Below are 27,332 nucleotides of genomic sequence, written 5' to 3'. Positions count from 1 at the left end.
CTTAGAGTTTGTGTCTGAGTTCACTAGAAATCATGTGACCTACTGATAAAGCATACTAATGGAATAAAATATTTTACTGATATTAACAGTCACTCCTCTTAATTTAATCAGAATTGCTGAAAGCTACTAAATATAAAATATTTCTAAATAAATCCAGTTTTATTACTTGCAGACATAAAGAAACTGGAAATAAGCCAAGAAGAAGTTGCCCCATGAAGGCCCTCAGCAGTCTGGTTTCAGGAATGGATAAGAATGTGTTCTAGGCCGGGCGCGGTGGCTCACGCCTGTAATCCCAGCACTTTGGGAGGCCGAGGCGGGCGGATCACGAGGTCAGGAGATCGAGACCATCCTGGCTAACACGGTGAAAGCCCGTCTCTACTAAAAATACAAAACATTAGCCGGGCGCGGTGGCGGGGGCCTGTAGTCCCAGCTACTCGGCGGGGGGCTGAGGCAGGAGAATGGCGTGAACCCGGGAGGCGGAGCTTGCAGTGAGCCGAGACTGCGCCACTGCACTCCAGCCTGGGCGACAGAGCAAGACTCCGTCTCAAAAAAAAAAAAAAAAAAAAGAATGTGTTCTATTACTGACAGCTACTGCTACACTGGTCTAACAAATTGTTTTACATCTGAGCTTGAAACAACATGTTGAGGGAAATCACATACAGCAATTGGAAAAACCATTGCACATTATGTGCAAAAATTTTCACAGATGACATGGAAAATAAGCTCAGGAAAATTTATCTGGCAGGTCTTACCTTTAGTAGCTTCATGAGACCCTCCAACTGGACCATTAGCTCTCTCCGGCTCTCCTGGAGAGCAGACATTCTCTGTTCCAGCTCATCTTTGCGCTGTCTAAGAAAGAAGCAGCTGACATCAGAAGCGGCATGCAACTCTCTGAGCTAATCACATTTCCATTCTTGAGGGACTTGTGGACTGTCAGAAAAAGGGCATCTCTGGGTCTCTGACAAGGTTACCAGGCAGGGAACTGTTGTCAAATGAATGAACAATTACAGCTGGAAGTGTTTCTTTTGTTAGCAGTCATACTACATCAGAATTAAAGTCCTTTTAGATCTTTTGTTTCCTTCAGACCTTTCTACCCTGAATTAATCAACCATTGAATGAAATATTTTCTGAATGCTTACTATGTAGTGGGCCCTGTGATGTGCTATGGGGTCCCTTGAAACAAACAAAAACCAAATTGTCACTGAAAAAGGCAAATCTTCCAGATTCTCCAAATCTAAGAACCCTTTTGCAAATTCACAGAAAATATTGATTACCTTAGTATTTGGAAATATATTTAGAAAAGTACATTTGAAATCTTCAGCACCCATTGAGGTGTCTCTCAGAGGTGAGATATTAACAGCACGTAGATACAATCCATTTAAATTTTTGGGTTTGAGTTTGGTTTCATAAAGTGAAGTCAAAATAAAGGCATTTCTACATACTTGTTCAACAAGTGAAGATGATATATAAGGTTCATGCTTAATTTTGTTTTGTTTTACAGACCTTTTATTAAACTGTCAGCAAGAATGAAAACAACTAAGGACAATCTATACTCGATCATTTATGTTGACACTAAGAGGTACCAAAAAGATCTTTAAAGGGGGAAAGAAATGAAACAGTATGATGAGGAATGTTAATGGTTCACAATTCTGAAGTATATGTATACTTTCCAAATAAATTCCAAATCCATTACTGAATGATTATTACTGAATAAGTAATACATATAATTTTCCCATTGCCCCAAAGATTTCTGTTTGAGTTTGAAATATTCATACTTACATACTAAAACTGCATGGAAACTTTAAACATGTATGTATTAATGTATAAATGGATATGGCTAGTCTCAATGATAGCATATTAAATGAAACTATGACAAGAACTCTGCAACGAAAAACTGATGATATAAAAATGTCACAGTGAGCTAGGTCAATGACTCACTCAATTGAAAGATATTTTGTGGGAGGACAGGTTAGTGATATAAATGATACATTTCTATTTTTTTCTATTTTTTTTTAGAGACAAGGTCTCACTCTGTTGCCTACGCTGGAGTGCAGTGGCATAATCATAGCTGATTGTAACCTCAGTCTCCTGGGTTCAAGCAGTCCTCCGCCATCAGCCTCATGAGTAGCTGATACTACAGGCATGTGCCACCATGCCTGACTAATCTTTTTTTCTTTTTTAAGAGATGGTTTCTCACTATGTTGCCCAGGCTTGTCTTGAACTCCTGGCTACAAGAGCTCCTCCTGCCTCAGCCTCCTAAAGCAGTGGAGGACATTTCTAATTCACTTTCTTATAGGCTTCTTCTATAATGAATTATGAATTTAAAATTTATAAATATTTCACAATTCTTTTTGAATAAATTTATATTTTTAACTTTTTAACTATAAAATATAAATTTTTAAATTTATATTTTTAACTATTATTGCCACTTACAAGCAATCCTTACAAGAGTAAGGACTGCTTACTCTTGAAGCAATCTTTCTTTCAATTTCCTTTAAAATTGCTTCTTTTCTGAATCCAGAGGATGAGAAACATCATAATTTTATATGCTTTAATGGTATCTTATTTTAGTCTTTGTCTTCCTGGGTTGAAGCATTCTAATTTCAAAAGCCTTGCCCCATTCAAGAATATTCCTCAGTGACAAATTCAGGAGGTGTTCTTTCTCTTTCTCTTTTTTTTTTTTTTTTTTTGACCTTGTCTGTGTATGGTGTTCCAGGTACATCCACAGTAGTCTTTGGTACAAGAATAGATAATGTTTCTGATTTCTTTCCAGTTCTCTTCTTGATACTGTTCTGTAATTTTGGCCCTTTGGCCACAGAAACACTTTGGGAAGAGGGTTAAAGCAACCTTCTAAAACTGTAGGTGAGAAACACTAAGAGAAGCATTTAAAAACTATCAGAGAACGTTAACTGGTATTATTAGGTTGGTGCAAAAGTAACTGCGGTTTTTGCCATTAAGAGTAATGGCAAATTAATTTAGAATTAGTCAACACTAAAAAAATCTAATTGTACATTTATCTTACAGTAGTAATCTCTTAAAAATATGACATCGAATTCAATTAAAAATTAATTTAAGAGTGTCTTCATTCAATCTTCTCTAAGTTTCCACCAGCGTTTTCCAAATGTAGGTATAATAACAAATCTGTGGTGTAACCTCCACCTTCCAAGGAGAATGAGAAAACAAGACTAAATAGTGATTTTCCTTTCCTAGCACTACATGTATTCATCTCTAAAGAAGTGCCTTTATTCTGATAGTCTGTCAGATTATTTCTAATGTATATGTGTGTTAAAACCTACTTTCTTTTTTTTTTTTTTTTTTTTTTTTTTTTTGAGACGGAGTCTCGCTCAGTCGCCCAGGCTGGAGTGCAGTGGCGTGATCTCGGCTCACTGCAAGCTCCGCCTCCCGGGTTCACGCCATTCTCCTGTCTCAGCCTCTGCAGCAGCTGGGAGTACAGGTGCCTGCCACCACGCTCGGCTAATATTTTTGTATTTTTAGTAGAGACGGGGTTTCACTGTGTTAGCCAGGATGGTCTCGATCTCCTGACCTCGTGATCCGCCCGCCTCGCACTCCTAAAGTGCTGAGATGACAGGTGTGAGCCACCGCGCCCGGCCGTTAAAAGCTACTTTCTTTTAGAACAGTGTTAGAACAATTGTCAAAATTTTAATATGGGTTTATATTAAATACCATATATCAACATTAACTTTCCCGAATTGAAGATGGTATCATGGTTATACAAGATAATTTTTTTCTTAGGAAATATATACATAAATTACACACAATTATACAAATTTTTTTCTAAGAAAAAATTTCTCCTTATAAATCATATATAAGTACATAAATATATACACTAAGTGAAAGGTATGATATCTGCAACTTCTGTGTGACTTCTGTGAATCTCAGTTTCCTTATCCATTAAACGAGTAGAATAATACTGCCTATCTCCTAGGTTTGTTACAGTAATTTTACGGGACAGTGTATGTAGAGTTAGTATGCAGCAAAGCGTCAGATTAGCACATAGAAATGCCTATCATTCATATTCATTGTCACTTCTGGCTGTGACTCAGCTTTCAGTTTTCTTGTGGCGAAAGTGAAAAGGGAAAGGGAAACATGATCGTTGAGAAAGTTCATTGTGGTTTTAAGACAAAAATGAAAGTATGCATTAACGAAAAACAAAGCTCTGCCGTGCTCAGGTGTTAAAGTGTCTGAAGAGCAGAGCAAAGATAGAGCCTCCGGAAACATCCATGCAATCAACAGGAACTTGGTAAAATCCAAACATAGTCATAAAGAACTTGCTTCATTTCGTCTTTTTGTATGGAAGAAGAAAACAGGACTAATTCTGACAAGGGTTTCTGCAAAGAGGCATCTGTACTTACTATAAAAAGTATGACTCAGAGTTATAGATATACCTGGAACATAGTTGGCACCCAAACTGAAAGATGAAAAGAATGGGCTGGGCGCGGTGGCTCACGCCTGTAATTCCAGCACTTTGGGAGGCCGAGGCAGGTGGATCACGAGGTCAGGAGTTCAAGACTAGCCTGGCCAAGATGGTGAAACCCCGTCTCTCCAAAAAAAAAAAAAAAAAAAAAAAAAAAAACAAAAAATTAGCCGGGCGTGGTGGCACGCGCCTGTAATCCCAGCTACTCCGGAGGCTGAGGCAGAGAATTGCTTTAACCTGGAGGGGCAGAGGTTGCAGTGAGCCGAGATCGTGCCACTGCACTCCAGCCTGGGTGACAGAGTGAGACTCCATCTCAAACAAACAAACAAACAAACAAAAACAAAAAGAAAAGAATGTAATACTTCCCAACTACAGGTGCCTTGTGAAAGAACAGTATGATATTTATACGAGGGAATGTCTTTGAATTTATTTTTGTGTTGTTTGCCACATAAATACACTGGAATACCAGCCTTATTCAAGGCATGGTAAGAAGCTAGTCTGAAATGGAGCCCACAGCAAGACTCATTTTGCAGCGTGGGAGTAGTAGGAGAAACCACATTTCTTTTCCAAGGCCTGCTACTCCCTAGCTTCTGACTCTGAGAAGTGCACTGAAATGCAGCGGCAGAATCTGATTGAGTCAGGAGAATAGGGACTGGAGGCAGCGAAACTAAGGACGATTTGTACTGACTTCCTAGAACTGAATGGAAAGGAAAACCTCGCCTTTCCACACCCAAGTAACAAAAGGATCCGAGGCTACTCCCTTTGTATGGTGAGGCAGATGAATAATGGAAAGTACTTCTGATTGGTCCCCTCCTGCAACCAATCAAATGTTTGCATAGGATGTCACTTTGTAACTTCACTTCAGCCTCTGATTGGTCGCCTCCTGCAAGCAATCAGAGTGGTCCTGGGCCAAGTCCTCATTTACACAGGGTGTACCCAAATAACTAATGGGAAACCTCCATAGGGTATTTAAACCCCAGAAAACTCTGTAACTAGGGCTCTTGAACCGCTTACGGGAGCTGGCTCCTACTCTGTAGAGTGTACTTTCGTTTCAATAAATCTGCTTTCGTTGCTTCATTCTTTTGTTGCTTTGTTTGTGCGTTTTGTCCAATTCTTTATTCAAAATGCCAAGACCCTGGACAACTTCGTGGTCAAGACCCTTCACTGGTAACAAGATGACTTCTATAGTCCCTTCTAACTCAAGTATTTTATGATGACAGACTAAAGAAGACTAGGCTTTTATGTTCCTTTATAGTACAGGAAGGTGTGATGCCTATTTTTAAAGATCTGAATATAAAGAAAGATATTAGAGACCAAGACTTAGAGAAAATCAGACTCCTTTTATGAGTTAGGGGTAAATTTTTAAATTTAAAAACCTGTGATGTTTATTTAACTGATTATTTCTAAAAAGAGCTATGTTTAAATTGTTCCTAGTGAGATATGTTGTTTTTGATGTAAAGAACACTGCTGGCCGGGTGTGGTGGCGCACGCCTGTAATCTCAGCACTTTGGGAGGCCAAGGCGGGTGGATCACCTGAGGTCAGGAGTTTGCGACCAGTCTGACTAATATGGTGAAACCCTGTCTCTACTAAATACAAAAAAATTAGCCAGGTGTGGTGGCGCATGCCTGTAATCTTAGCTCTTGGGAGGCTGAGACAGGAGAATTGCTTGTACCTGGAAGGCAGAGGTTGCAGTGAACCGAGATCGTGCCATTGCACTCCAGCCTGGGCAACAAGAGTGAAACTCTGTCTCAAAAACAAAAACAGAAACACACTGCTTTTCCCTGTACCAAATGAAAGAACAAAATATAAACAGCTTCTCTCTAAATCCCCCAAATATCAGCAATTACGTGTGTGCTATGAAAAAAACAAATGTCAGCAGCTAAGGTAGCTGAGGACTGTTTTCTGGCTAGACACTGCTAGACTTTCTCAAAGATCTGACACATATATATTCCCTGAGATGACATGGGTGCTCTCTCCTACCTGAGGAGCCGGAGTTCTGCCAGCAGGGTGGGGTTTTGCTGTGCCTTCTCTGGCGTGGGCTGAGAAGCTTGTTCATGCTCTAGCCGAAGTCTCTGGATCTCCTGTAAGATTTCTCTTGGGAGAGAGGAGGAAGGTGAGAAACCAAGGTTAGTTAGCTTTCAGGAAACTAACATCGGAGCAGATCAAGGCCACCAGAACAAAGAGAGAAGGGATCATCCTATGTTTAGGAGCAGAACCGACCTTCCCTAACCAACAGATTCCAGTGTATTTAAGAGGCTTTGACTATAGCTAGATGGGTGCTGTGGGTGACGGGAAGATTGACTTCATTTCCAGTACATCCAAACCTAGAAGCTTCTGCAGCATGTCGTTGAGTTAAATCACCAGGGTCCAGTCATCTCTCTAGCAAGTAATGTAATGCATTACTACTAGCAAGTAAGGTAATGTGTCCAACTTTGAAGAGCATGCTGCTTAAGAGACAAAAATGCATCTTCCTGTTATTTACGATCACACTCTGACACCGTAAAGTACCTGCAGCTACCAAGTAAGAGGAGCCTGAAGGGAAAATAAGGATAAATGGGGCTCATTTCACAAAACTAAGTAACCTCATTCTCTCACCAAGAAGGGACTTCTCATTGAATTTATCTGAGAAAACCCCAGTTAGACAAAATTCTTTCTCTTTTTTTTTTCTTAAATCTCTCAGCCTTAACAATGGATCTCAGGGAAGTCCACCTTAGAAGGAAAGTGCTTTTAAAAAGATTCACAGTAATTGAGTCTGTGACATACAGTGCTATTGGTGTGACCTCTGTCGGGGGTGAGATGTGTCAGTCAACTATTGATGTCAGAGCCTGGGCTTCCCTGCATTTGGTGAGCATTAGGCTAGCCATAAAGGATATGTGACCTGGCAAGGCAAATTATCCCTAAGTGAGTCAGAAGCCATTAAGCAGGGTTATAAGTCATGTATTCTTGGGAGCTGGGGGTGTCAGTTTCCTACTCAACAAAATGCATAGAAGCCAGTAAGACGGAGCAAAGCACTGCGAATGGAAGGTGAACTTGGTGTACAAGGAAGTAGCTTTCCATTTTGGAGGGCTGATTTAAAACTGCCTGCTTCGCAAAGCCCCCAGAATCAGGAGGCTAATGATTAGTAAGCCATTATACATTTCGTGGGTGTGGTGAGAAGATGGAACTGTAATTCAGTGGTTTTCAGTCTTTTTTTTGTTTTCTCCTCTTTGTGATTCCATCGGGGAATCCTTTCTTTAAAAGAAATATGCCATGGATACCCAACATGTCAGATAGTTTAAGGGGTCGGGTGCTGCTGGGGTTAAAGAAATGAGGACAAGTCCCTGTGTTGCTGGGCCCTGCTGTGCCCTCCCAGGTGCCCCTGCAGAGCCCTCAGGATGCCATAAAGCTCAGCCTGAAAATCAGTGCAGTGGGATTTCCAAGATTTCCTCCAGGGCTAACACCCTGATATTCTATGACTCCTGCTATTCTCTTTGTTCATTCTAAAGACAGAAACACAACAGAGCCATTTGGTCCAAGGAAGGAAAAGAGAGCAACAGCTCTGGTAAGAAAAAATAAAGAAGAGATATGTAACGTGCATCGAGTAGTCAGTCTGTACCTGGGAACTCTGCTGACTTCTTTAATGTTATTTTATTTCATTCTATAACAGTTCTATTATATATAGGTACCATTATTATCTCTGTTTATTAAATGAGAGAATCCAGGCACAGACCAGTTGAAAGATTTCCCCAAGTTCGATAACAAGTAGGTGGTAGACGTGATGTGAATCCAGGCTGGCTAGCCCCAAACCCCACATATATCAGCCTGCCTCAGTCTTCTGGTACTTGCTTTGCTAGGTCTAGCCAAGACAGGCTGTGACCCATACAATATAATTTGAAGATTCCTGGTACTCCTAATACTAACCCTGACTGGCTCCACCAAAGGTGCTATAAGGAACCATTACCTTCTAAAGATCATTGCTGAAATGTCTGTGTGTTACCTGGGGTAGACAGAGTCATTAAATGAAATGAGGAACTCTATCTTCCCCTTAAACTCACAGATCTGATTATTGAGTTGTCATCTTAGAGACATGAGTTCCCTGGGTGGGTTTCCATGGTGCAGTAGTATTACCTAAAGGAGCTTTTGGCCCTGGGATGTCTAGAGAACCAGGCTGCTGGCTCAGAGAGATGAGCTTAGGATGTACTTGCTGCTCATCAGAGATGGGTTGGGGAGCTCTAGAACCCACAAAAGAACTCAGGGACAGAATGAATCTCTCTTTCCGCCATCTCTTCTCACTCCTATTTCTTTTTTCCTCTCTAGTCCTTAAAGACATGCATTTAGAGAGTGCGATCCAAAAACATCCAGGAAACAAGCAGCAAGAGTGATATTAAGGCATGGCCAGGGTTGTTGGGGCCTTCATGGTGCTTCATGCTGATTCTGGAATCAGAAATAGACAGAACCACATGGAGGCAGATATCTCTGGGGTATTTCCTCAAAAGAAGTCCTGCTTTCCCCTCAAATGTGTTACCCCCATGCCCGAGTGGAAGCAGAGTATTGGAAGGGAAAACAAAGTGCTCTGAAGAAGTGGAAGAGTAGGTTAATTAACAGTGCAACCAAGATAAAATATTCGTGGGCTTGTGAATTTCTGTTAGTCTTTTCTTTCTAAGAAGGGATGGAGGCGTGATGCTGCAGCTTGTGGAAACTCTGGTCAGGGTTGACCTCCTTTTGATATTCCACAAAGCCCCCTTTGACCTTGATGTTTTATCCCTTCTCTTTATATCGGGACAGATGGATAGGAGGAAGGAAAGAACAAGAGAGTGAAAGAAAAGAGGATTGCTAGTAAAATCTGAGTTGTGTGAAGGTTGTTGTTGGAAAATCTGGAATCCCTAATGGAAAGTTCAGAAATGAGTAATAGAATCTTGTAAATTAACATTTCAGCACTATTTTGCCTTTTGTCTAATCATCTCCTTTTTGGGTTCCTTTATTTTTATTTCTGGAACCATCTATCTAACATAGTTCCTCATCACTTCCCACCAGCTTCTAGTCAATCCCTTGTAAATGCAACCTGCATATTTAGTGAGCTGATTATTTTGCCATAAACATGCGGACATTCTGTCACTTGCCTGACCACTGCTGTCCATCATAACAGGATAGAATTAAAATTCTTTGGTCTGGTATACAAGCCTCATATACTGATGTTTTCATTTTATTCTTTGATTCCTCAGTGCTAGCCTGGCAAGTGTCTTGTTGCTTTTCTCAAAGTCTATGTGTATTTTTACCTTTAATTCTATCTCCCAACTTTCACTGCAAAATTTCACTGTCCTGAAATGTCCTAAAAACTCACCTTCCCCATGAAGTTTGCCCTACACAACCTAGACCACAATGATGGTGAAGTGGGTCATGTTGGGGAAAAAGAGTAGAAATAACACCTCACATTTAAATTTTCATCTGTAGAATGGGGATGATAATAGTCACCCTGCCTACCTTAAATAGTTGTTCTGAGGATGAAATGAAACTATATTTGTACACATGTACTTTAAATGTATTTTAAAGTTGTCCTTATTCTCACTTCAACCCCTCAAAACAAAAACCCAGGTTTCTTACTGCTGCCACCTGGAACCTGTGAGCATATGTTATTAATCCCAGCTGTGGTCCCTTCCCCAATGGATGGCTCCATGCTTGTTAGCAATCATAATATGTCTTAGAGAAAAGGGACTAAGGGATGGAGAAGGGATTATGGAATGATGTCTGGTAGAAAGTCCGAATGAACGGACTACATAGAAAGTTAGGTCCTTCTTCAGAAAATGGCCTCAACTCTGGCATAGTTCATTAAGGCCTCAAGCTGGCACAGCCTTCCAACAGCAGATAAAATGATTGTTTTTATCACTCCTTTCCTCCTTTCTTCTTTAGCTCTTTCTGTTGCCTTTATTATGGGACACTCACTGACTTACTGACATCTGTTAATTCTGAGTCATTTTAAATAAACCTTTCCACCATATATTATTGGTTGACTTTGTGGACTGAAAAAAATAAAACCCAAAATAAAACAAAACTGCTTTACATTCCAATTCTGACATTTGCTGAGGTTATCAACCGTAATATTTTGTTCCAAAAAAGCTGAAACTTTGGATTAAGTCTAATTGTCAATAATTTAAAACTGGCTTATTTTGCTTCTTTTTCTTGCCATGATCTTTCCAGTGCCTGAATTGATGTAAAGTATCAGTACATTTGAGGACGGCCCCTCCATTCTCCTACTCCCCATTGTCATCAGTGTCATCAATACTCACACAAGCATTCCACGAACCACAAAGTCCAATGGTTCTTTTACATTGTTTGCTTCGAGCCCTCTGCCTGCTAGCTCAGCTCATACACTTTCTCCAATGCCTGCCTGTCCCCACTTTTACTTGCATCCCCCAACTACCCTTTTCCTTTTTTTGGGTTGTTTCTCCTACCTTTTTAAAGTGCCTTTGCTCATTTGAAGACTTGGCTCCCACTCTCAATGCTTTTTTCTGACTTGGCACAATTACTTGCACGTAGTAGATATAATAAATGATACATAAAATAGAATAGGTAATTTTACAGACTTGTGAGTATCCTGAACAAATTCCAATTTGTATGGCTATTTTTTTTTATAATTCGTCACTATGCATCTGCTCTTTCCCTTCTTAATTCTTTCCTCCTATTATTTGCTACATTGACAGGGATCACATGTGACAAACTTTTTTTTAATTTTATTTTTAAATTTTTTTATTCCAGCTCTGATGTGAGCACATCTCCCTGGGGGTCAGAGTAGAGCAGTAGTTTCAAAGGCGATGGAGTCATGGTGTCACATTTATGAAGCTATTTCTATCCTAATTTGTGGTTTCCTAATGATGGCAGCCAGGTCTCAAGACAACTAAGCCAAAAGCTTTCCTTACTAGAAAAAAATATGAAAAAGTGCCAACCAGAGTTTGCACCCTCCTTTTTATTCTTTCTTGAGAACTTTAAAGAATACTTTGATCATTTATCCCCAAATTCTCAGGTCAAATTTTACAGGCATGAAATAATTATCACAACCTCCTCCTTTACTCCTCCAGTTTGACCTCAAATGTCACATCAGTGTTTAAGAATGGGGTTAAGCATGGAAATGTTTTGGTGCTGTTTCAAGAAATATATTACTAGAATGTGTTAGGTTGGTGCAAACGTAATTGCGTTTTTTTGCCATTAAAAGTAATTAAAAATAATGGCAAAAACCACAATTACATTTGCACCGACCTAGTACAAGTTGTTCCATGTTGGGTTTCCTCAGAACCAAGTTTGAGATTTAACTCAGCTATTCATCGTTTTCTCACTCAATGTATATCTACTGAGCTTCTACAATTGCCAGGCCTGGTTCTGGGCTCCAGGGACCATTTAGCCATGGCCTCTGTTCTCAAAGAACTTCCGTTTCAGTCCAGGAAGACAGACAATAAACGAAGAAACAAACACACATGATTATTTCAGATAGTGATAAGTGACAACCTCCTGCCCCCAACACACACACAGGGGTATGTAATTGAGACTAGTTTCTGGGCTAGGGGCAATTAGGTAGGATCAGACAGGTGGTCTTTTAGGAGATGATATTTGAGCTGAGACCCCAGTGATGAGAAGGAGCCATCCACACAGAGACCTGGAGGAAGAGCTTTCTAGGCTGAGGGAATGACTAATTCAAAGGCTGTAGACAGGAGGAACACATGGGAGGTGGGAGTGTGCTGAGCAAGGTGAGCTGAGGCTGGAATGGCAGGAGGGAATCAGGTCAGGTAAGACCTTGCAGGTGATGGTAAGAGGAGTAGGATTTAACTGAAGTGTGATGGGAACACATTAGAGGGTTTAAACCTGGAATAACATAAGATTGATGTTTTTGAAAAGGACAGGCTGAACTGGGTGGTGGTGGAGATGAGCTGGACAATTTTTGGGGTGTATGCTGTGGAGGTAGACTGTGAGTCAATCTGTGTTGAATAGAGGAAGAACCTGCTGATGGGCTGCAGGTGGAGATCTTTGGATGTTTGGAGAGTAACTGGGTGATGGTGGTGTCTCTCCAGATGCCTCTTTAGCTCAGGGTCCTTCCAGGGGGCCTCTCTGGTGAGCCTCCTACCTGTTTCTGGGTGGTAGAGACACCTTCTACCTAGTACCCAGGAGGGTCCTCCTGTACTAGAAGCTCTTGAACAAAATTAAGTATCTCAGAAAAAGGGAAGTGAGACCGTCTAGAGGGGCAACATTAATTGCATTGATATCTCAGAACTATACACATACATGCACACGCCGTTTTCTCATGGAGCTTCTGAAGTTCTAAAGATCTAAAGACCAGCTTTTTGGAAGTGAGCATCACTGAGTGTAGATGTCTTCCCTTGAGTAGCCATACAGGGTGTAAAGCCCTGAAACTTTAAAGCACGACCATAGTTTATTAAGGAATGCGCACATTGATCAAACAAGCCAGCACGTCTACAAAGTCTCACCTGTTCTTGTTTTCTAGCTCAGCAATCAGCTGCCTTTGCTGCTTATTCGCATCGATGGTGAAAGAGATGTCAGGAGCACTTCTCTGCTGAGGTGGCTGCTGTAAAATATGTAGTTTATAAGATTTCATATTGAGAATGTGAACCTATGTATTTGGGAAGGCAGGAGTCATGAGATATGCAGACAAGGAGGAGGGAATTATTTCTATCAAAACAAAGAAAGCAAATACATAAAATTCAATTGCCATTTTTCTCCTATGGACCAACTTTTCTGTGGATCTGGAGCACATCTGTGAGGTGGAAGGCAGAACAGAATTCTCTGGCAGGCAAATACACAAAAGGTAGGAAAAATGATTTTTCAGCTTTCTGACTGAAAATCTTTGGGAAGTGATTTTATTTTTGCCACACTGTCCCCATTGTACCTATTCTTTCATTATAGGTGGCTTTAAAAGATGTTGCACTGTTGAGAGGGTGCTTTCTCTAGAGTTACCGTTCAATTACTGTAATGTACAATTAAAAATATAGTTTTAGGCCAGGCATGGTGGCTCACGCCTGTAATCCCAGCACTTTGGGAGGCTGAGGCGGGCGGATCACTTGTGGTCAGGAGTTTGAGACCAGTCTGGCCAACATGGGGAAATCCCATCTCTACTAAAAATTCAAAAATTAGTTGGGCCTGGTGGCACACACCTGTAATACCAGCTACTAGGGGGGCTGAGGCAGGAGAATTGCTTGAGCCCGAGGTGGAGGTTGCAGTGAGCTGAGGTCATGCCACTGCATTCCAGCCTGGGTGACAGAGCGAGATTCCATCTCACAAAAATAAATAAATAAATAAAAATATAGTTTTAAAGTCATAGTTGGTAAGACTTACTTTTCTGATTCTTCTAATCAACAAACTTTTATGTCTTTCTTTATTCACACATGTAATTTTAGATTGATGAATTCACATATTCATGTATATTCTTTGATTTCCTTCTACTTTCTCACCACTCCAGCTCCTCATTTTCAGAAATGCAATCAGCTTTAACGACTGGTATACATGCAGTCACAGCTTTCTCCATTCTCATATAAACATAGATATCATTAATCATATGCCATATATATATATCTGTTTGTGTATGTTTATGTATATTTAGTCAAGGATTTATTTGGTGTTGTTTTACAAAAATGGGGTCATATTATGTACACTTATGTATGTCTTGCTTTCTTTGCCTTACAGTACATTTTAGAAATTCCTCCACACCAATTTTTATTGTTTTAAAAACAAATTTTTAAAAATCACAACTCATCTTTCTACCGAAGAATGGAAAGCTTTTAAAAATGGCAACTGTTGCCTAAGCCAGATGCAGAGAATCTTGTCCTGCTTTTTAATGTCCATAAACCTAACTGTAGGAAAGATTAAGTTTTGTAAAGGTTTTGCTTTTATAAAGCTGTCTATGCATTTTAATTTACACCTCTTTTCAGCAAAGAATGACTTATATAGCTAACAAGAAATTTTGAGGTCCTACATTTTAGATTCTAAATGACTTTCGGTAGCTAATTCTGGCATATGGCAACTTTGACTTGTGATTCAAGATTTTCTTCTGATTTCATTACATAAGTTTCCTTTTCTGGCATATACTTTATGTATTGATAAATGGTAGAAACTTATCTGAGCCAGTTGTGAATTTCAGTCATTGCTTTGCTATGTATATTAATTGATCAGGAATTATAAAGAAAAACATTGACCCATTTACTAAATGACCGTTCTATCTCCTTTCTAACCAAGTGTCATCTTACTAATCATGATTTACTCAGCTAATCATACTATTCTTAATATGTGGTTATGAAGAGATTTACAAAGGAACTAGAATTAATGTGTGGACGGTATCTTTCCTATGATGGATCCACAAAGATTATATATAGTGTAAGTAGGCAAGGAACACAAGTTACTAATGTTCTCCAGAAAGAAATGGAACAAGACTGGAGAATTTAGTACACATATAAATAATAACATGTGCATGGAGATTTAGCAGTCTGCCAGGGATCACTAATGCAAATGCTGAAAGGGGCAGGGAAGTAACTCAAGTGACGGAGGTGGGCCAGGGTAGGGGTTGTGGCAAAGTGCCACACACTTGCCCTGTCCGAAGCAGCAGAGTAATGCCTCCACTCCAGCTGCCTGCTGTCAGAAGGAACATGCATCTGATCTGGTCAGTCTTTTAAGATAAGATGAAAATCCAGACTTTCAAGGAAAACCATCTGATTTGTAAGTCCTGACATCTAATAAAGAATTGAAAACACTGTGGGGCTCAACAAAACATTTCTGGGGGACAAATTTGGTCTGCAGGCTGCCATTTTGTAATTGCTGGTTTATGCAGTACTTTCACACATTTTACTATCTCAGTGGATGCTAATAACAGGCAGCACTGACATATATAATAAGCATATTTACACCTGTGTACAGATGAGGAGACTGAACTCAAAGAAGCACTGCTTTGCATGAGGTCATGGAGAGCTGGGACACACATTGCTAATCCCATATCTTGGTATACCATAGCCTCTGTTTATAGAAGTATATGCATGGATAAAGGCAAGAAAACTTGGAAAAGAGGTTTTTCCAAAAACCTTGTTTTGCCTTTACTTTCAAGTGACTCCTGGAGTGGTTGCTTGTCCTAAAATCTAATTCTCCTGTATTCTCAGCTGATTCTATATTTTAATTTTCTTTAACATGTTTGCTCCTTACTTATGGCCCTTAAAATTTCATATACTCCAATTACGTCTCTGTTTTATCATGTCTGATTTTGGGGGCACACAGTACACTTTTAGCCTGTCCTGGATCCCCTCCATCTTGCTCATGGTAGTTTCTAACAGTGTTACAGTCACGGATGTCACAGAGAGCAACTGCCAGGGCTAATGCAGTCGGTCATTATGCAGCTCCCATCTGGGATCATTAGGTTAAATGCTCAGCATGAAGGGCTCTGATAACTGCAACATCTGATGTGAGAGGTGCAGGCAACAGCTTCCTCACTTGCTCCCCTGCCACTCTTTGTCCTTTGTGACGCACTAATAGCAACTCACCCTTAGTCAGCACAGATGAATTCTGAATCAATGTGTTGAGCTGACAGTTGCTTTTGTCTTAGAGACTGACACAAATGGAGAAAGCTATAGCTCTATTATTTCTACTGGTATATTTTAAGTGTCACTTGCAACTACTCTGCCTTAAACTTAGTGCCTTCACTAACCACACCTGCTTTAAATAAAGGAATCACAACCAGTCCTTGCCCCCTTCCTTGGGACTTCATATGGGGTTGACACTGAATGAAGGGGGATGCGAGGATTCCAGCTTGACTCCAGGGTCACACTACTGTGGATGGTTTTGTTCCTCAAGTCTTCCATTTTTAAACTGTAAATTCACCACCAAGACACCACAAACTTAGCAACAAACACATGCACAATAAATTAGCACAAATTGTCCTGGTAATCAGCACCAGCTATAATAACAATAAACATGACATATAAAATTCAAGGATCCCAGATGCCAACAGACGAATCCTTTTACTCCAACTACTTACAGACGAAGAGGACTCTGCTGCCAGCCTTGCCGCATACCTGGCAATTAGCCTGTGTTCTTCATCAAGCCGGTTTGAACTCTCAAGCATGCTATTAAGAACAAAGCAAGAAGGAGACCGTTAGGCAACTGAGAAAGATTGCTGCAGTCATTTTACCACAAGGAGTTTTTACTATTTCAATGTTTTGGTGCAAAAGATTTGCAAACTACACAAAACCCTGTTAGAATAACAATCTCAGACTTGAATTTGTAACATGATCTAATATATAGTCGGGAAGGTCATTAATAAATCCTGTCTTCAGTCAATTCAATTGTCTTACTAAGAAAGCCTCACAGAGAGGTGACTATTCTGATCAATACATCTGATCAGAAGAATTTCTCTTACTTTTATTGCCTTTAACATTTTTTCTTTCCTTTTTACACAAGTAACACATGTCCAAAATTGACATGTTAGAAAATAGGAAAGCAAGAAGAAAGAAAAACATCATTGTGGTCAATGTCCAGTGATCCCTACCTGCTGGTATTACATTCTCATGTAATTTCCTCCCCTTTAGGATGGGCTAGACTTACTAATCTGCTTCTAATGAATAGCATATGGCAGAAGGAATGGAATGTCACTTCCAAGATGAGATTATAAAAAGACCATGGCTTCCATCTTGGACTTGCTTGTTTTCTCTTTAGCTCTCTTGGTCTGTTTGGTGGGAAAATAGCTGTCAGGTCATAAAGCAGCCTTTATGGAAAGACCTAGGTGATGAGAAACCCAAGCAAGCCAATTACCATGTGAATGGATCCCCACTGGTAGAGCCTTCAGATGAGATCACAGCCTTAAGTGACATCTTGATTGCAACCTCACAGAAGCCTTGAACCAGAGGGACTTAGCTAAGCCAAACCTGGATTCTCAACCTACAGAAATTCTGAGATGATAAATGTTTGTTATTTTAAGCTACTAACTTTTGGGATAATTTGTTATGCAGCATAAGGTAACTAATACAAGTCTCATCTATAATATTACTACTTATTTATAACCTGCCTTTTATATTTACTTTCAGAGAAACAGAATTTTAGTAGTGACTCCCAATGACCTTAATGGAATTTTTTAGTGCCTCCTATAAATTTACAGAAACTGTTCATACTAGAATAAGGATGATCTGAGTCCCTAAAAACTAATGCAAATAGAAGCGTTACTAATTCTTCCATATTTCAGAAAACTTCATTCTGTGAAGTGCTCCATTCAAGACTAAGTTTTGGGTGCCATTAAAAATAATTCTATGAAACATACCAATAGCACTAATCTTGTTAACAAACTAGTTGGTTGTAGTTTGGCTTATTGGTTATTGTGGTATGTATCAGTTCAGAATCAAGATCAGAAACTAGTTCCTCTCATTCATAAACATACTTATATTCTTCTGCATCAGTTCTTATACTTACGGCTCTTCCTTAAAGAAATTAACTCATAAATACATATTGTAAAGACACCCTCTTATGCCAATATTAAGGTTGTAAGAATTATTCATTGCAATCACTTGGATCCATATAAAGTAACATACTATTATATGTACATTTACAAATAGAGTAAACATGAAACATAGTGTTTTAACCTTTGTTCTGAAGTGAGAAGATGAGTGAAAGTAATTATGTTCTTCCAGCATTTTGGCTATGTCACTTCCAAATAGCTCTTGTCTGGTTAGCTGAATCCACTATATAACAGGTTTGTTTTTTTTTTCTGGTCATTCATAAGACATTCCTGTCTACATTATCTCTGCTCTAGCCTACACCCCTTGCATATATAAGCTATAGCTGTTTTAATATGAATACTTCCACTCTAGACTTAGCCCTTTTCTCTGAGCTATAATAAATAACTAGAACATTCCTGAATTTCCTTATCTAACAACTGATTTCTCCCTCCTCAGAAAAAGAGGCTTCTCTTTCCTTTTGCTCAAATGAGATAATGTATGCAAAAAGCATCAAAAGAGTGTGATGCCTGGAACACATGAGGTGCTCAAAAATATTAGTTAATATAATGTTATTATTATTTTGCCTTTTAAATAACATGTTCATATCCATTAGTAATCCTCATCCCCTTCAAAATATCATCTACCATCTGACAATTATCTAGAGCAGTGCTTTTCAAATTTTAAAGTGTAAGCATATCACCTAGGGATCTTGTGAAAATGCAGTTTCTGGTTCTGTGGTGGTAGGGTAGGGGAGGTTGGGAGGGTGGGACCTGAGAAGATGCATTTCTAACAAGCTTCCAAGAAATGTCGATAATATTGGTCCAGTGTACTGGTTCAACACTGAGTATCAAGGATCTAGAAGATCTCGAAAACAAAATGGAAGACACAAATACGTGAAATGAAACCTAAATATAAACGATATAAAAGAGAGAGTTGTTCAAGAGTATTTAACAGATACCCATACAGCATGTGTGATATGTTATAAACATTCCCTTAAGACAGAAAATTGTAGGATATACGGCTTACATAATGTTTAGTATCAATCCCAGTGGATTGAGATTTTATTCATTACACAAGTTTAGATTTGGAGTAAGAAAATAATTTTAATAGCAAAGGCAGAATTATCTCTGGAAAACTGATGCTTTAAAGCAGATGTCTGTCTTTATAAAATAATGTCTGCATTCTGCAATGGTTAAAAATAATAACTAAATTCTTTATTACAGCTTCAATGAAAAAGAGAAAGTTACACTGTCTTTTCTTTCGACGTCAAACTACCCCACAAAGAGACAACTGAATTTGATTTTAACATGTTTATCATTTCTGGCTCATGTATTAGGGGCTATACATCTAATTCAACACAGTGTTTTGCGGATAACCCCATTGCTCCAGGCCCAGGAACATGATATCTTTGACACCTTGAAAGTGACTTTGTCAGAAACATTTGTATTTTGATAAATAAATAAATAATTTTAAAAATCTTGATAAAAACTTCTGATAAAAGTATCTTTTAAAATGAATGACTAGCTAGTGTAAGTAATATGAAGGTTATATTTTTAAAAAGCCTCCTGGAAATGTAAGACGTGAAGATATAGGATTCTGTATAGCAAGTGATAACTCATACGTCCATGCCTTTCCTCCCCCAGCACTGAGTGAATGAGGGCCTGTGTGATAATATTACCCCTTTGTGCACATGAACAATTTATGGGTCCACATAATGCCATTTCAGTATGTTCAAATTATACAAGGGTGAAGGAGGCATTCTTCTGATAAATTCCTCTATTTCAAGACTTCAATTACAAATAGTTGAAAATGAATGATCAACAATCCCTAAATCATTAAAATAAATACCAATTCCAACACTTTCTCCAGCCCTAGCTATTCATTTCAGGACTTTATAATCAGTAATCTTGCTACAAGACTATGATGAATTAACAAGTGATTGCAGTGTTGACGGCATTTCAGAGCAGGAAAATCCATTATTTTGAAAGCCCTCCACATTCTACCCGAAATGCATGGCCAGTGTCTGTTGCCAGTGATTTCAAAATGGCATTCCAGGAAACTCAAGTGGCCCCAGCTGAGCTAGGGCTTATGAAAGTGTGATTTAGCAAAGATTTTTGGGAACTCACGGTTTGTTCACATTCTTTTGATTTTTTTCTGGGCCTGTTCTGCTTTCTAAGTTAGGGTAGTCAACCAGAAAATACTGTGATCCAAAGCATATAGCATATATAAATGCAAAAGCAAAAGCATATATAAATGCTTCTATATTTTCTTTTCATATTTTTTCTACTACTCTGGCTAGTGATGGGAATTTTATCACTAGAAATTAATTTAGAAGGCCATCGAGTTTCATGTACTACTCTTCTATTAAGAGGATTAGTTAACTCAAATGGAAGATTGCTTTATTAGATTATTCTCTATCTTTGGCAGTTGGTTTAGAGCAAAATGCTAAGGGAATAGAGCACTTTTTTTTGGCATTTAGAAGTCAGTGAGCTCAAGAGAGTCAGGGTAGAAAGGAACAAAGTGACACTGGGGACCGAGAAATGGTTTTACAGTACTGAAGAATGGGGAAAGAAACTAACTCTCAAAGCTTAGTGTAGTGGCCCTTTGTGAGTGGTTTGGAATAACAACAAAAAAAGACAGGAAATCATGAAATGGCAATCTTCATGGATAACAATAAGAATTTACCACAATAATGGCTTCCTTAAAGGAGACCTTTAAACTCCTTTATTGAGACCCTGACTTCAACAACCCCCTATGTTACAGTTGAGGTCATGCATTCTATCTTCTAAAAACTCTCAGACTCCTCCATTTCCTTCTACTCCAACTGTTCCTGATGTGACAGTCTTTAGATTTATATTTCCAGGATTCTAAGGAAATATCTTTCTCAGAAGTCCAGTTCTATAATTGAAGTTCCTAAAAATTTTACTAAACAAAAGGAGTCGTGTTAACAGGAAATGAAAACTCATATAAAAGAGACACTGTCAGTAAGTGTAGGTAACTCTTCTTTTTTCTTTCAACAGATTATAATTTCTTTTTTCTTTCAACAGATTGCAATAAACTCACATTTTTCAAAATCAACAAAATGTACTAAAAAGAGTCAGTCAAATCTTGACCTACACATTAAAAATATTAAAGGCATACAATTCAGTGGATTCAGTGGGGAAGTGGGTTATGGATTCAATTGTGTCTCCCCCAGTATTCATATGCTAAAGCATATGAATACCCTCAGTACCTTAGAATGTGACTATATTTGGAGATAGGGCCTTTAATTACAGTTAAATGAGGTCATAGTGTGGGGCCCTAATCTCATAGGACTGCTGTTCTTTTAAGGAAAGGAAGAGACACTAGGGTAGAGAAAAAAGGTTATTTGCGGACACAGCAGGAAGGTGTCCATCTGCAAGTCAAGGACAGGAGAAACCAACCCTGCTGGCACCTTAGTCTTGGACTTCCAGCCTCCAGAACAGTGAGAAAATAAATTTCTGTTGTTCAAGCCATCAAGTCTATGGCATTTTGCTTTGGCATTCTTAGCAAACTAATACAAAGATGAAGAATCTAGGGGGGCATTAAAATTAAAAAAAAATTCTTGCCCAATTATCACTTTAAGTTTTTAAAAAAATTTTAGAATGCCCTATTAGTTGCTCTGTTCACATCAGTGAATTGCTGGTGCTTATCTTTGCCCATGTCTACCACTACACAAAGCTTAATACTTTAATTTTTCATCTATTTTATACTCCTATACTAAATGTTCAATTTAAGTGCTACTCTATAATAGTGATTTTTTTAAATAGTAAAAATTCTAATTTTGCTAGTAAAGTTTCTGACTACTCCTAACAACTTTGTTTAGGGGAAGATGGAATTTTTTTAGCTACTGCACTACTGATATTCTACAATATCAACAGATGTTTATTGAGCACCTACTATGTGCCTGGCACTGTGCTAGATGTCAGAGATAAGGTGGTGAACAAGTTGGAGAGGGTCCCTGCCCCACTGAAGATACAGTAAATAGTAAGCCAACCAACCAGCCACCAACCAACCAACTAACCAGTCAGCCAACCAACCAACCAATGAGCTAACCAGCCAAACAGCTAACCAACTAACCAACCAAACAATGACTGCAGCTGATAAGAAGAAAATAAAAATAGTATGCTATAATAGAGACTAATATAGAGGACCTACTGGGGGAGGTGTCTTTAATCTAAGATTGGAAGCTAGACAAGCAAGTTCATGTGCATATAGTAGGGGTGAAATGGGAAAGAATGTTCTAGACAGAGGGGAGAACTAGTATTGGAGTCTTGAGGCAGGAAAGAGCTTGGTTCGTTGGAGGAATTGATCAAAAATTGACATGACTAAATGTAGTGATTGAATGGGAGAACCCCATGAGATCTGAGGCTGAGAAAGGAGTAGGCAAGGGCTAAGTCACATGCAGGTTTGTACACCATGGTGAGGGGTCTGGGTTGTAAACTAGGTCCAATAGGAATCTATTAAAGAGTTCTAAGCATGCAAGCTAATAAAAATTTAGACCTCATAAATGAAATTCTGAAATAGGCATTCTTAGATGTCTTTTTTCCCAAAGCATAAAATATTGTGGAGCAATTTTAAACTAGATGGATTATTAATCCACTTAACAAGAAATCTATTGACAACACAAATGTACACTTTCTTGTACTTGAGAAAAATATAAGCAGAACAATTTTAACCTAGTCATATGACATCAGGAGTCTAATCAAGTGACAATGTTAGAGGTAGAAGTTCTGGGCTGGTTTCAAATCATTTGGTTGGTCTACTACAGACCTTGGTATAAACTAGCAAGCCCAGGAATTTGACAAGCTTTGGGGGAGGGTAGTAAAAGCCCACACTGTATCACATTTCAGACTCCTTCTCCTGCAATGAGGAAGGTGCATACAAATTATTAAGGCTTTTAAAACTTCATTGAATTAGGAAGGAAGCAGAAATTCTCCCTTGAGCTGCAGTTTATTTATTTGACTTATCTGACAGAACCAGCAATGACATAAGTGTTTCTTTAGCAGCAAACTATTACAAATAAGTCAGTTTCCCAGTGTGTTAAGTAGTTAATATAGGGTAGAAGACCCCCACACAGAGTTAATCAGGATTAGGTCTGAATAATGGCAAAAACAAAGCTTTTGATGGAGAACAGCTAGAGGCCAAGGAATGGGGTGGAAAATAGATGGGAACCAGTGTCATAAGACCTGTTTGCAAGCCCTTACTAGCATGTGACTTTGGATAAGTCACTTAATGTCTCAAAGCTCATATTTTTTAAACAGTGAAATGGAAATAATCATATCCAACCTTCTAGGACTATGAGAAGTAAATTAAATAATGTGTGGAAAAAGGCTTTGTAATTTTTGGAGCATTTCATAAATACAAAATTTATTATTCTTACTCCAGCTGTTGTAATAAGATAAAAGAGACTGAAGACAAAACTCTTGCCCTTTTTGAAGCTTACAATTAACATGAGAAGTCACAACTCAAGGAACTACATACATAAAAGGTAACTTGTTAAGAATCACCATTCCTGTTACTAGTATGTGCTCAAAATATTTGCTAAAATCAAATAAAAACACTAGAATAAGATATACAGTTTCAGTAAATACGTGGAGGATGCAGTGTGAAGGAGGCATCCACAAAAGATCCTGAAAGGCGTGTGTTGATGCAGATTTTAAAAGAGGTGATGAAACACAGTGGTTATGAACTTGGATGGATAATGGTTAAAATCTCTGCCCCACTTTTTATAGCTGTGGGACTAAGGGAGAGTCAGGTAAGCTCTCTAAAATGATACCTTTACTTGTCTATAAAAGGGGGATGATCTTATTTACTCCATGGGCTTACTTTAAGGACTAGGAGAAATTATGTATACAAGGCTCTGAACATAGAGCTTGGCATGAGGTAAGTGTTTTAAAAACACTTACTATTATTATTACTATTATTATATGTCTCACTGTAACTTAATGATGGTAAAGCATTGTAGCTACAATGATGTTAAAGGAGGTAAGAGGTCATTACATTACTTATAGAACCATGACAGGTATGAGGAATTGTTGGGATCTAATTAAACATAAAGAAAAGGGAAGAAAAAATGAGAAATTTGAAAAAGAAGTTGGAATTTTTTAAGGATAGAAAAAACTATGAGAAATATGGAGGGTGCAGCTATTAAAACAAAGCCTCCTTCATTGATTGGTTGGCCTTAAATTCTGCTTTGTTTTCAAAATACAAATCACATTTAGCTTTCATCAGGCAGACGCAAGGTGTCTCTGCTGAGACAGATTTATGGTCTTAAGTAACCATCAAGTCAATATGATTAATCACTTGAGTAGGGAAAATGGCTGGTAGTGACAAACTCTGAGCTTTTCTCTTTGGAGATTTCTTTGTTAACAACCTTAATTAAGAAAAGGTCAAAGAAGAGCAGTAGAAATAACTGGAGTGTGCTTAGAATTATGGGAAGAGGACATGATGTGAGATCGCATCATAGTCTTACAATTGAATCTACACTGACTGTATTCTTCTTCAAAGATGACCAATACAATTAAAAAAAAATTCAATGCTTAGTTCTACTGCTTCAGCTACCATGTAACACTGGAGTACCAAACTCCTTGGGAATAAAGCAATTTTGTAGTTTTGAGAGCCTGAGTTGTGAAAAAGTGGATACTATTTAATCTAGAAGCTCACAAAATTTGAAGAAAGAGATGGATTTACGTCAGCCAAAGAGTGCATTTTTATCCCCTTAAACAGTAGGATCTAAGGTAAAATTAAACTAGTGTACTGGTTATACATTTTTAAAAATACAAATTAAGATACATGTATGTACTAAAGCACATAAATGTTCATCAGTTCATGAGAACTAAAAATTATCTCATGTATTAATCTTGCAAAAATAGATCTAAGAAGCAGTAATAGGAAGAAAATTTTGAAAATACTCAAGTGAGGAGGAAAGAGGTTCAGAAACAAAGCGGCTAATAACATCAAGTGGTGAGGGCAAGGAGCATGGAGCAATGGCCTAGCATCTGAGGAATGCCTTGGTGAAATACTAGGTTGGTGCAAAAGTAATTGCAGTTTTTGTCATCACTTTTAATGTAATTGCCATTAATTTTGCCAATTACTTTTCCTCTAATAGTAGAGGAAAGAGGACTTGCCATGCTAAAGGTTTGAAACATTTTAATGGAAATTGAACCCATTGGCTTTCTTAATAATTGTAACTATGGAAAATCCATGGGCCCTTAATTGAGAGAAAATTGAAGTGGTTGAGAAAAATTGACATATTTTCAAGGAATTGGTTTGCTAAATATGTTTATAAAACAATAGTCTGAACTAGATTGAAAAATACATATGATACATAGTTTGTCCTTTTCCTTTAATTCAAGCTGCAAATCCACATTTATTATTAATATCAAGTAACTTTAACCAATGGAAGGAGTCTCCTATGTCACAATGAAAATGGAGAAAAGCCTTTTGAATGGCTTTATCCAAGTACACAGGGCTATCTTAATTCCTGAATTTAACATATCTGAAACTAAGTTTTGTGTATTCCAAGATGTGAAAGCAGGCTTTAGCAGGATGGTCATCAGAAAAATGTGTAATAGAATTGCTGAAAGACGATTGTTCCCACTGTTATCATTGTTAAAGAAATGATTTCCATTTTGTGATTCAATCACATCGCATTTTCTCTTTTTCACTCTTAAGTAAAATGAAGCATTGTTTTCCAAATCAGCAGAGACATCCATGTCCTTGGAATAAGACAAATTCTTTTATCACCATCCTGTGGTAATTTGACATGACACGTAGCACAGAACTGATTGGTGGGACCCGGAGTCCTGAATCTACCTGAAGGCTAATATTTAGCAAGGCATCCCTTTATGCAAGTTTTCGTTTTAGCTAATATATAAACAAGGATATGAATCCTATGGTTCCTTCATGGGAAGTATCCAAACTAACATCACGAGAGACTTCTTAACTGAACCAGTTAACAGTGCTTCAGTGTCACCACTGGCATCCAGTGACCTTGCTCCTTGCTGAGACTGCTTGTCACCAGCTCAGACTGTATCCCTCTCTAAGGACAGTCAAGCAGCCAAACCTGCACTAACCATGAGGGGTTGTTCCGGAGCATGTTGACATACAACCCGATGAGAACATGTTCATCAGCTAGCCTGTCTGCCACATTCAGGCTGTACTGTATCCTGAAACAGGGCAGGGGGAAAGAAAGCGTGTTGTTAAGAGAGGTGGACAGAAATAAGTAGAGGAGGTAGGAGTGAGTTTTTGGTAGAAAAGGCATTTAGAAAACCAAGCAGGTAAAGGAAGGGTAGTAAGTGATGTGCTATGAAAAACACAAGTGAAATCCAGGCAATGAAATCCACAATTCGATTTCACTAACTTTAAAAATAAAGACTTCCATTTAGGTTAAATAAAGTTTTAGAAAACAGATTTACATTTTTCAACCACTAAGGCCAAGGTATTCATCTGTAGAGTAAATACATTGAAATTGGTTGCAAGCAAAGATTAAATATCCTTCAGAAAATCGAGTCTTCAGCTTAGTCATTTCAAAAAAGAAAAGGACACAAATTCGGGAAAGTGAATAACAACACAGATGTGTCTACTGGAAATAACTACTTAGTGCTGTTAACTGGGTTAAAGCAGAGCTGCTTTTACTGAATCAAAGACAGTCTTTCACACACAAAGCATTTTTGACAAAAGAAATCTCCATTTTTAGTTTAGTTAATGCAGGGTTCCAGTACACTCTGGCTGTAACTTACCCTTTGCCCTTCAGAAAAGCTGGAGCAGCCCTAGCCAGCAGTTTGTTCTGCTCTACTTCACTGTCCTTGGGAGGAGAGCTAGTTAATAAGATGGGAAAGCCAAGAAGAGCGTAAACACGGCAATGCATTCAAGAATAGAAACTGGCAACAGACACTCCCAAGTCTAGATCCAAGTTTCATTTAGACAGATCTCTTATTATTTTGAAATGTTCAAGATGTTTTCAGATTTCCACAGACTTCAAGTAGGAATAGAAACCCAGCCTGAGAACCACAATCGCAATCACCATGATCCCAGATTTGACCTCTGCTATTTGCTTAACAAGCAAGCATTTATATTGAGTATGTCTAGACATAATGAAAATTCATTCAACATTTATCATGGCATATCATGTAAACAGTCCAATAGTTCACTAAGTCCTGCCAGCCTTTAGATCCCACTCAAGAACTTAGCCTTCCCTACATCCTCCAACTTTCTGTTCTGGATAGAAAGACTTGAAAATTACCTAGCTAGAGATTGCTTCATATTAGAAGTGTTTTACTACTCCAAGCAAAAGCCACATGATCTTGGCTGTGGAGCTACAAAGAAAATTTTCAGAGGAACAGAGAAATACACCTTTGAGTCTTATACATATATATTGTTATTTCTTATGTTTATATTAATACAAAGCTAGTGAATATAGTCTCATTGC

At 38.5% G+C, this 27,332-nt stretch overlaps 1 protein-coding gene across 63 annotated transcripts in view, besides 4 other annotated features; it reads right to left on the bottom strand.

Annotated features, from left to right (window-relative positions):
- The window catches only part of DTNA (dystrobrevin alpha), a 398,533-nt gene that overhangs the window by 27,030 nt on the left and 344,171 nt on the right, over positions 1-27,332 (bottom strand). For 36 of the 63 annotated variants that reach the window (XM_047437323.1, XM_047437332.1, XM_047437326.1 and 33 more), the window contains 4 exons: positions 16,432-16,519; positions 12,887-12,984; positions 6,417-6,530; positions 753-849 (listed from right to left, as the gene is read on the bottom strand). In XM_047437323.1, the coding sequence (XP_047293279.1) occupies positions 753-849; positions 6,417-6,530; positions 12,887-12,984; positions 16,432-16,519 (397 nt within the window). Of the gene's footprint in view, positions 1-752; positions 850-6,416; positions 6,531-12,886; positions 12,985-16,431; positions 16,520-25,977; positions 26,071-26,643; positions 26,722-27,332 lie in introns of all 63 variants that reach the window. The other 27 variants (NM_001386762.1, XM_047437319.1, XM_047437328.1 and 24 more) reach the window with 5 other exon arrangements.
- Positions 4,034-4,163: an enhancer, noted in NCBI's record as "active region_13217". NCBI's record gives its function as "activates an Ori minimal core promoter by ATAC-STARR-seq in GM12878 lymphoblastoid cells {active_cell/tissue: GM12878}" and the evidence as "EXISTENCE:reporter gene assay evidence [ECO:0000049][PMID:35858748]".
- Positions 4,174-4,273: an enhancer, noted in NCBI's record as "active region_13216". NCBI's record gives its function as "activates an Ori minimal core promoter by ATAC-STARR-seq in GM12878 lymphoblastoid cells {active_cell/tissue: GM12878}" and the evidence as "EXISTENCE:reporter gene assay evidence [ECO:0000049][PMID:35858748]".
- Positions 4,876-5,170: a silencer, noted in NCBI's record as "tiled region #11937; HepG2 Repressive non-DNase unmatched - State 23:Low, and K562 Repressive DNase matched - State 3:PromF". NCBI's record gives its function as "represses a minimal TATA promoter and a strong SV40 promoter by Sharpr-MPRA in HepG2 and K562 cells {active_cell/tissue: HepG2 | K562}" and the evidence as "EXISTENCE:reporter gene assay evidence [ECO:0000049][PMID:27701403]".
- Positions 16,620-17,425: an enhancer, noted in NCBI's record as "OCT4-NANOG hESC enhancer chr18:32427354-32428159 (GRCh37/hg19 assembly coordinates)". NCBI's record gives its function as "activates a minimal SCP1, AML or CMV promoter by ChIP-STARR-seq in primed H9 embryonic stem cells {active_cell/tissue: H9 hESC(primed)}" and the evidence as "EXISTENCE:reporter gene assay evidence [ECO:0000049][PMID:30033119]".

Source organism: Homo sapiens, chromosome 18 (assembly GCF_000001405.40).
Source record: "Homo sapiens chromosome 18, GRCh38.p14 Primary Assembly".
In the NCBI taxonomy this organism is placed as follows: Eukaryota; Metazoa; Chordata; class Mammalia; order Primates; family Hominidae; genus Homo; species Homo sapiens.
This window is presented reverse-complemented; position numbering and strand designations above follow the sequence as displayed.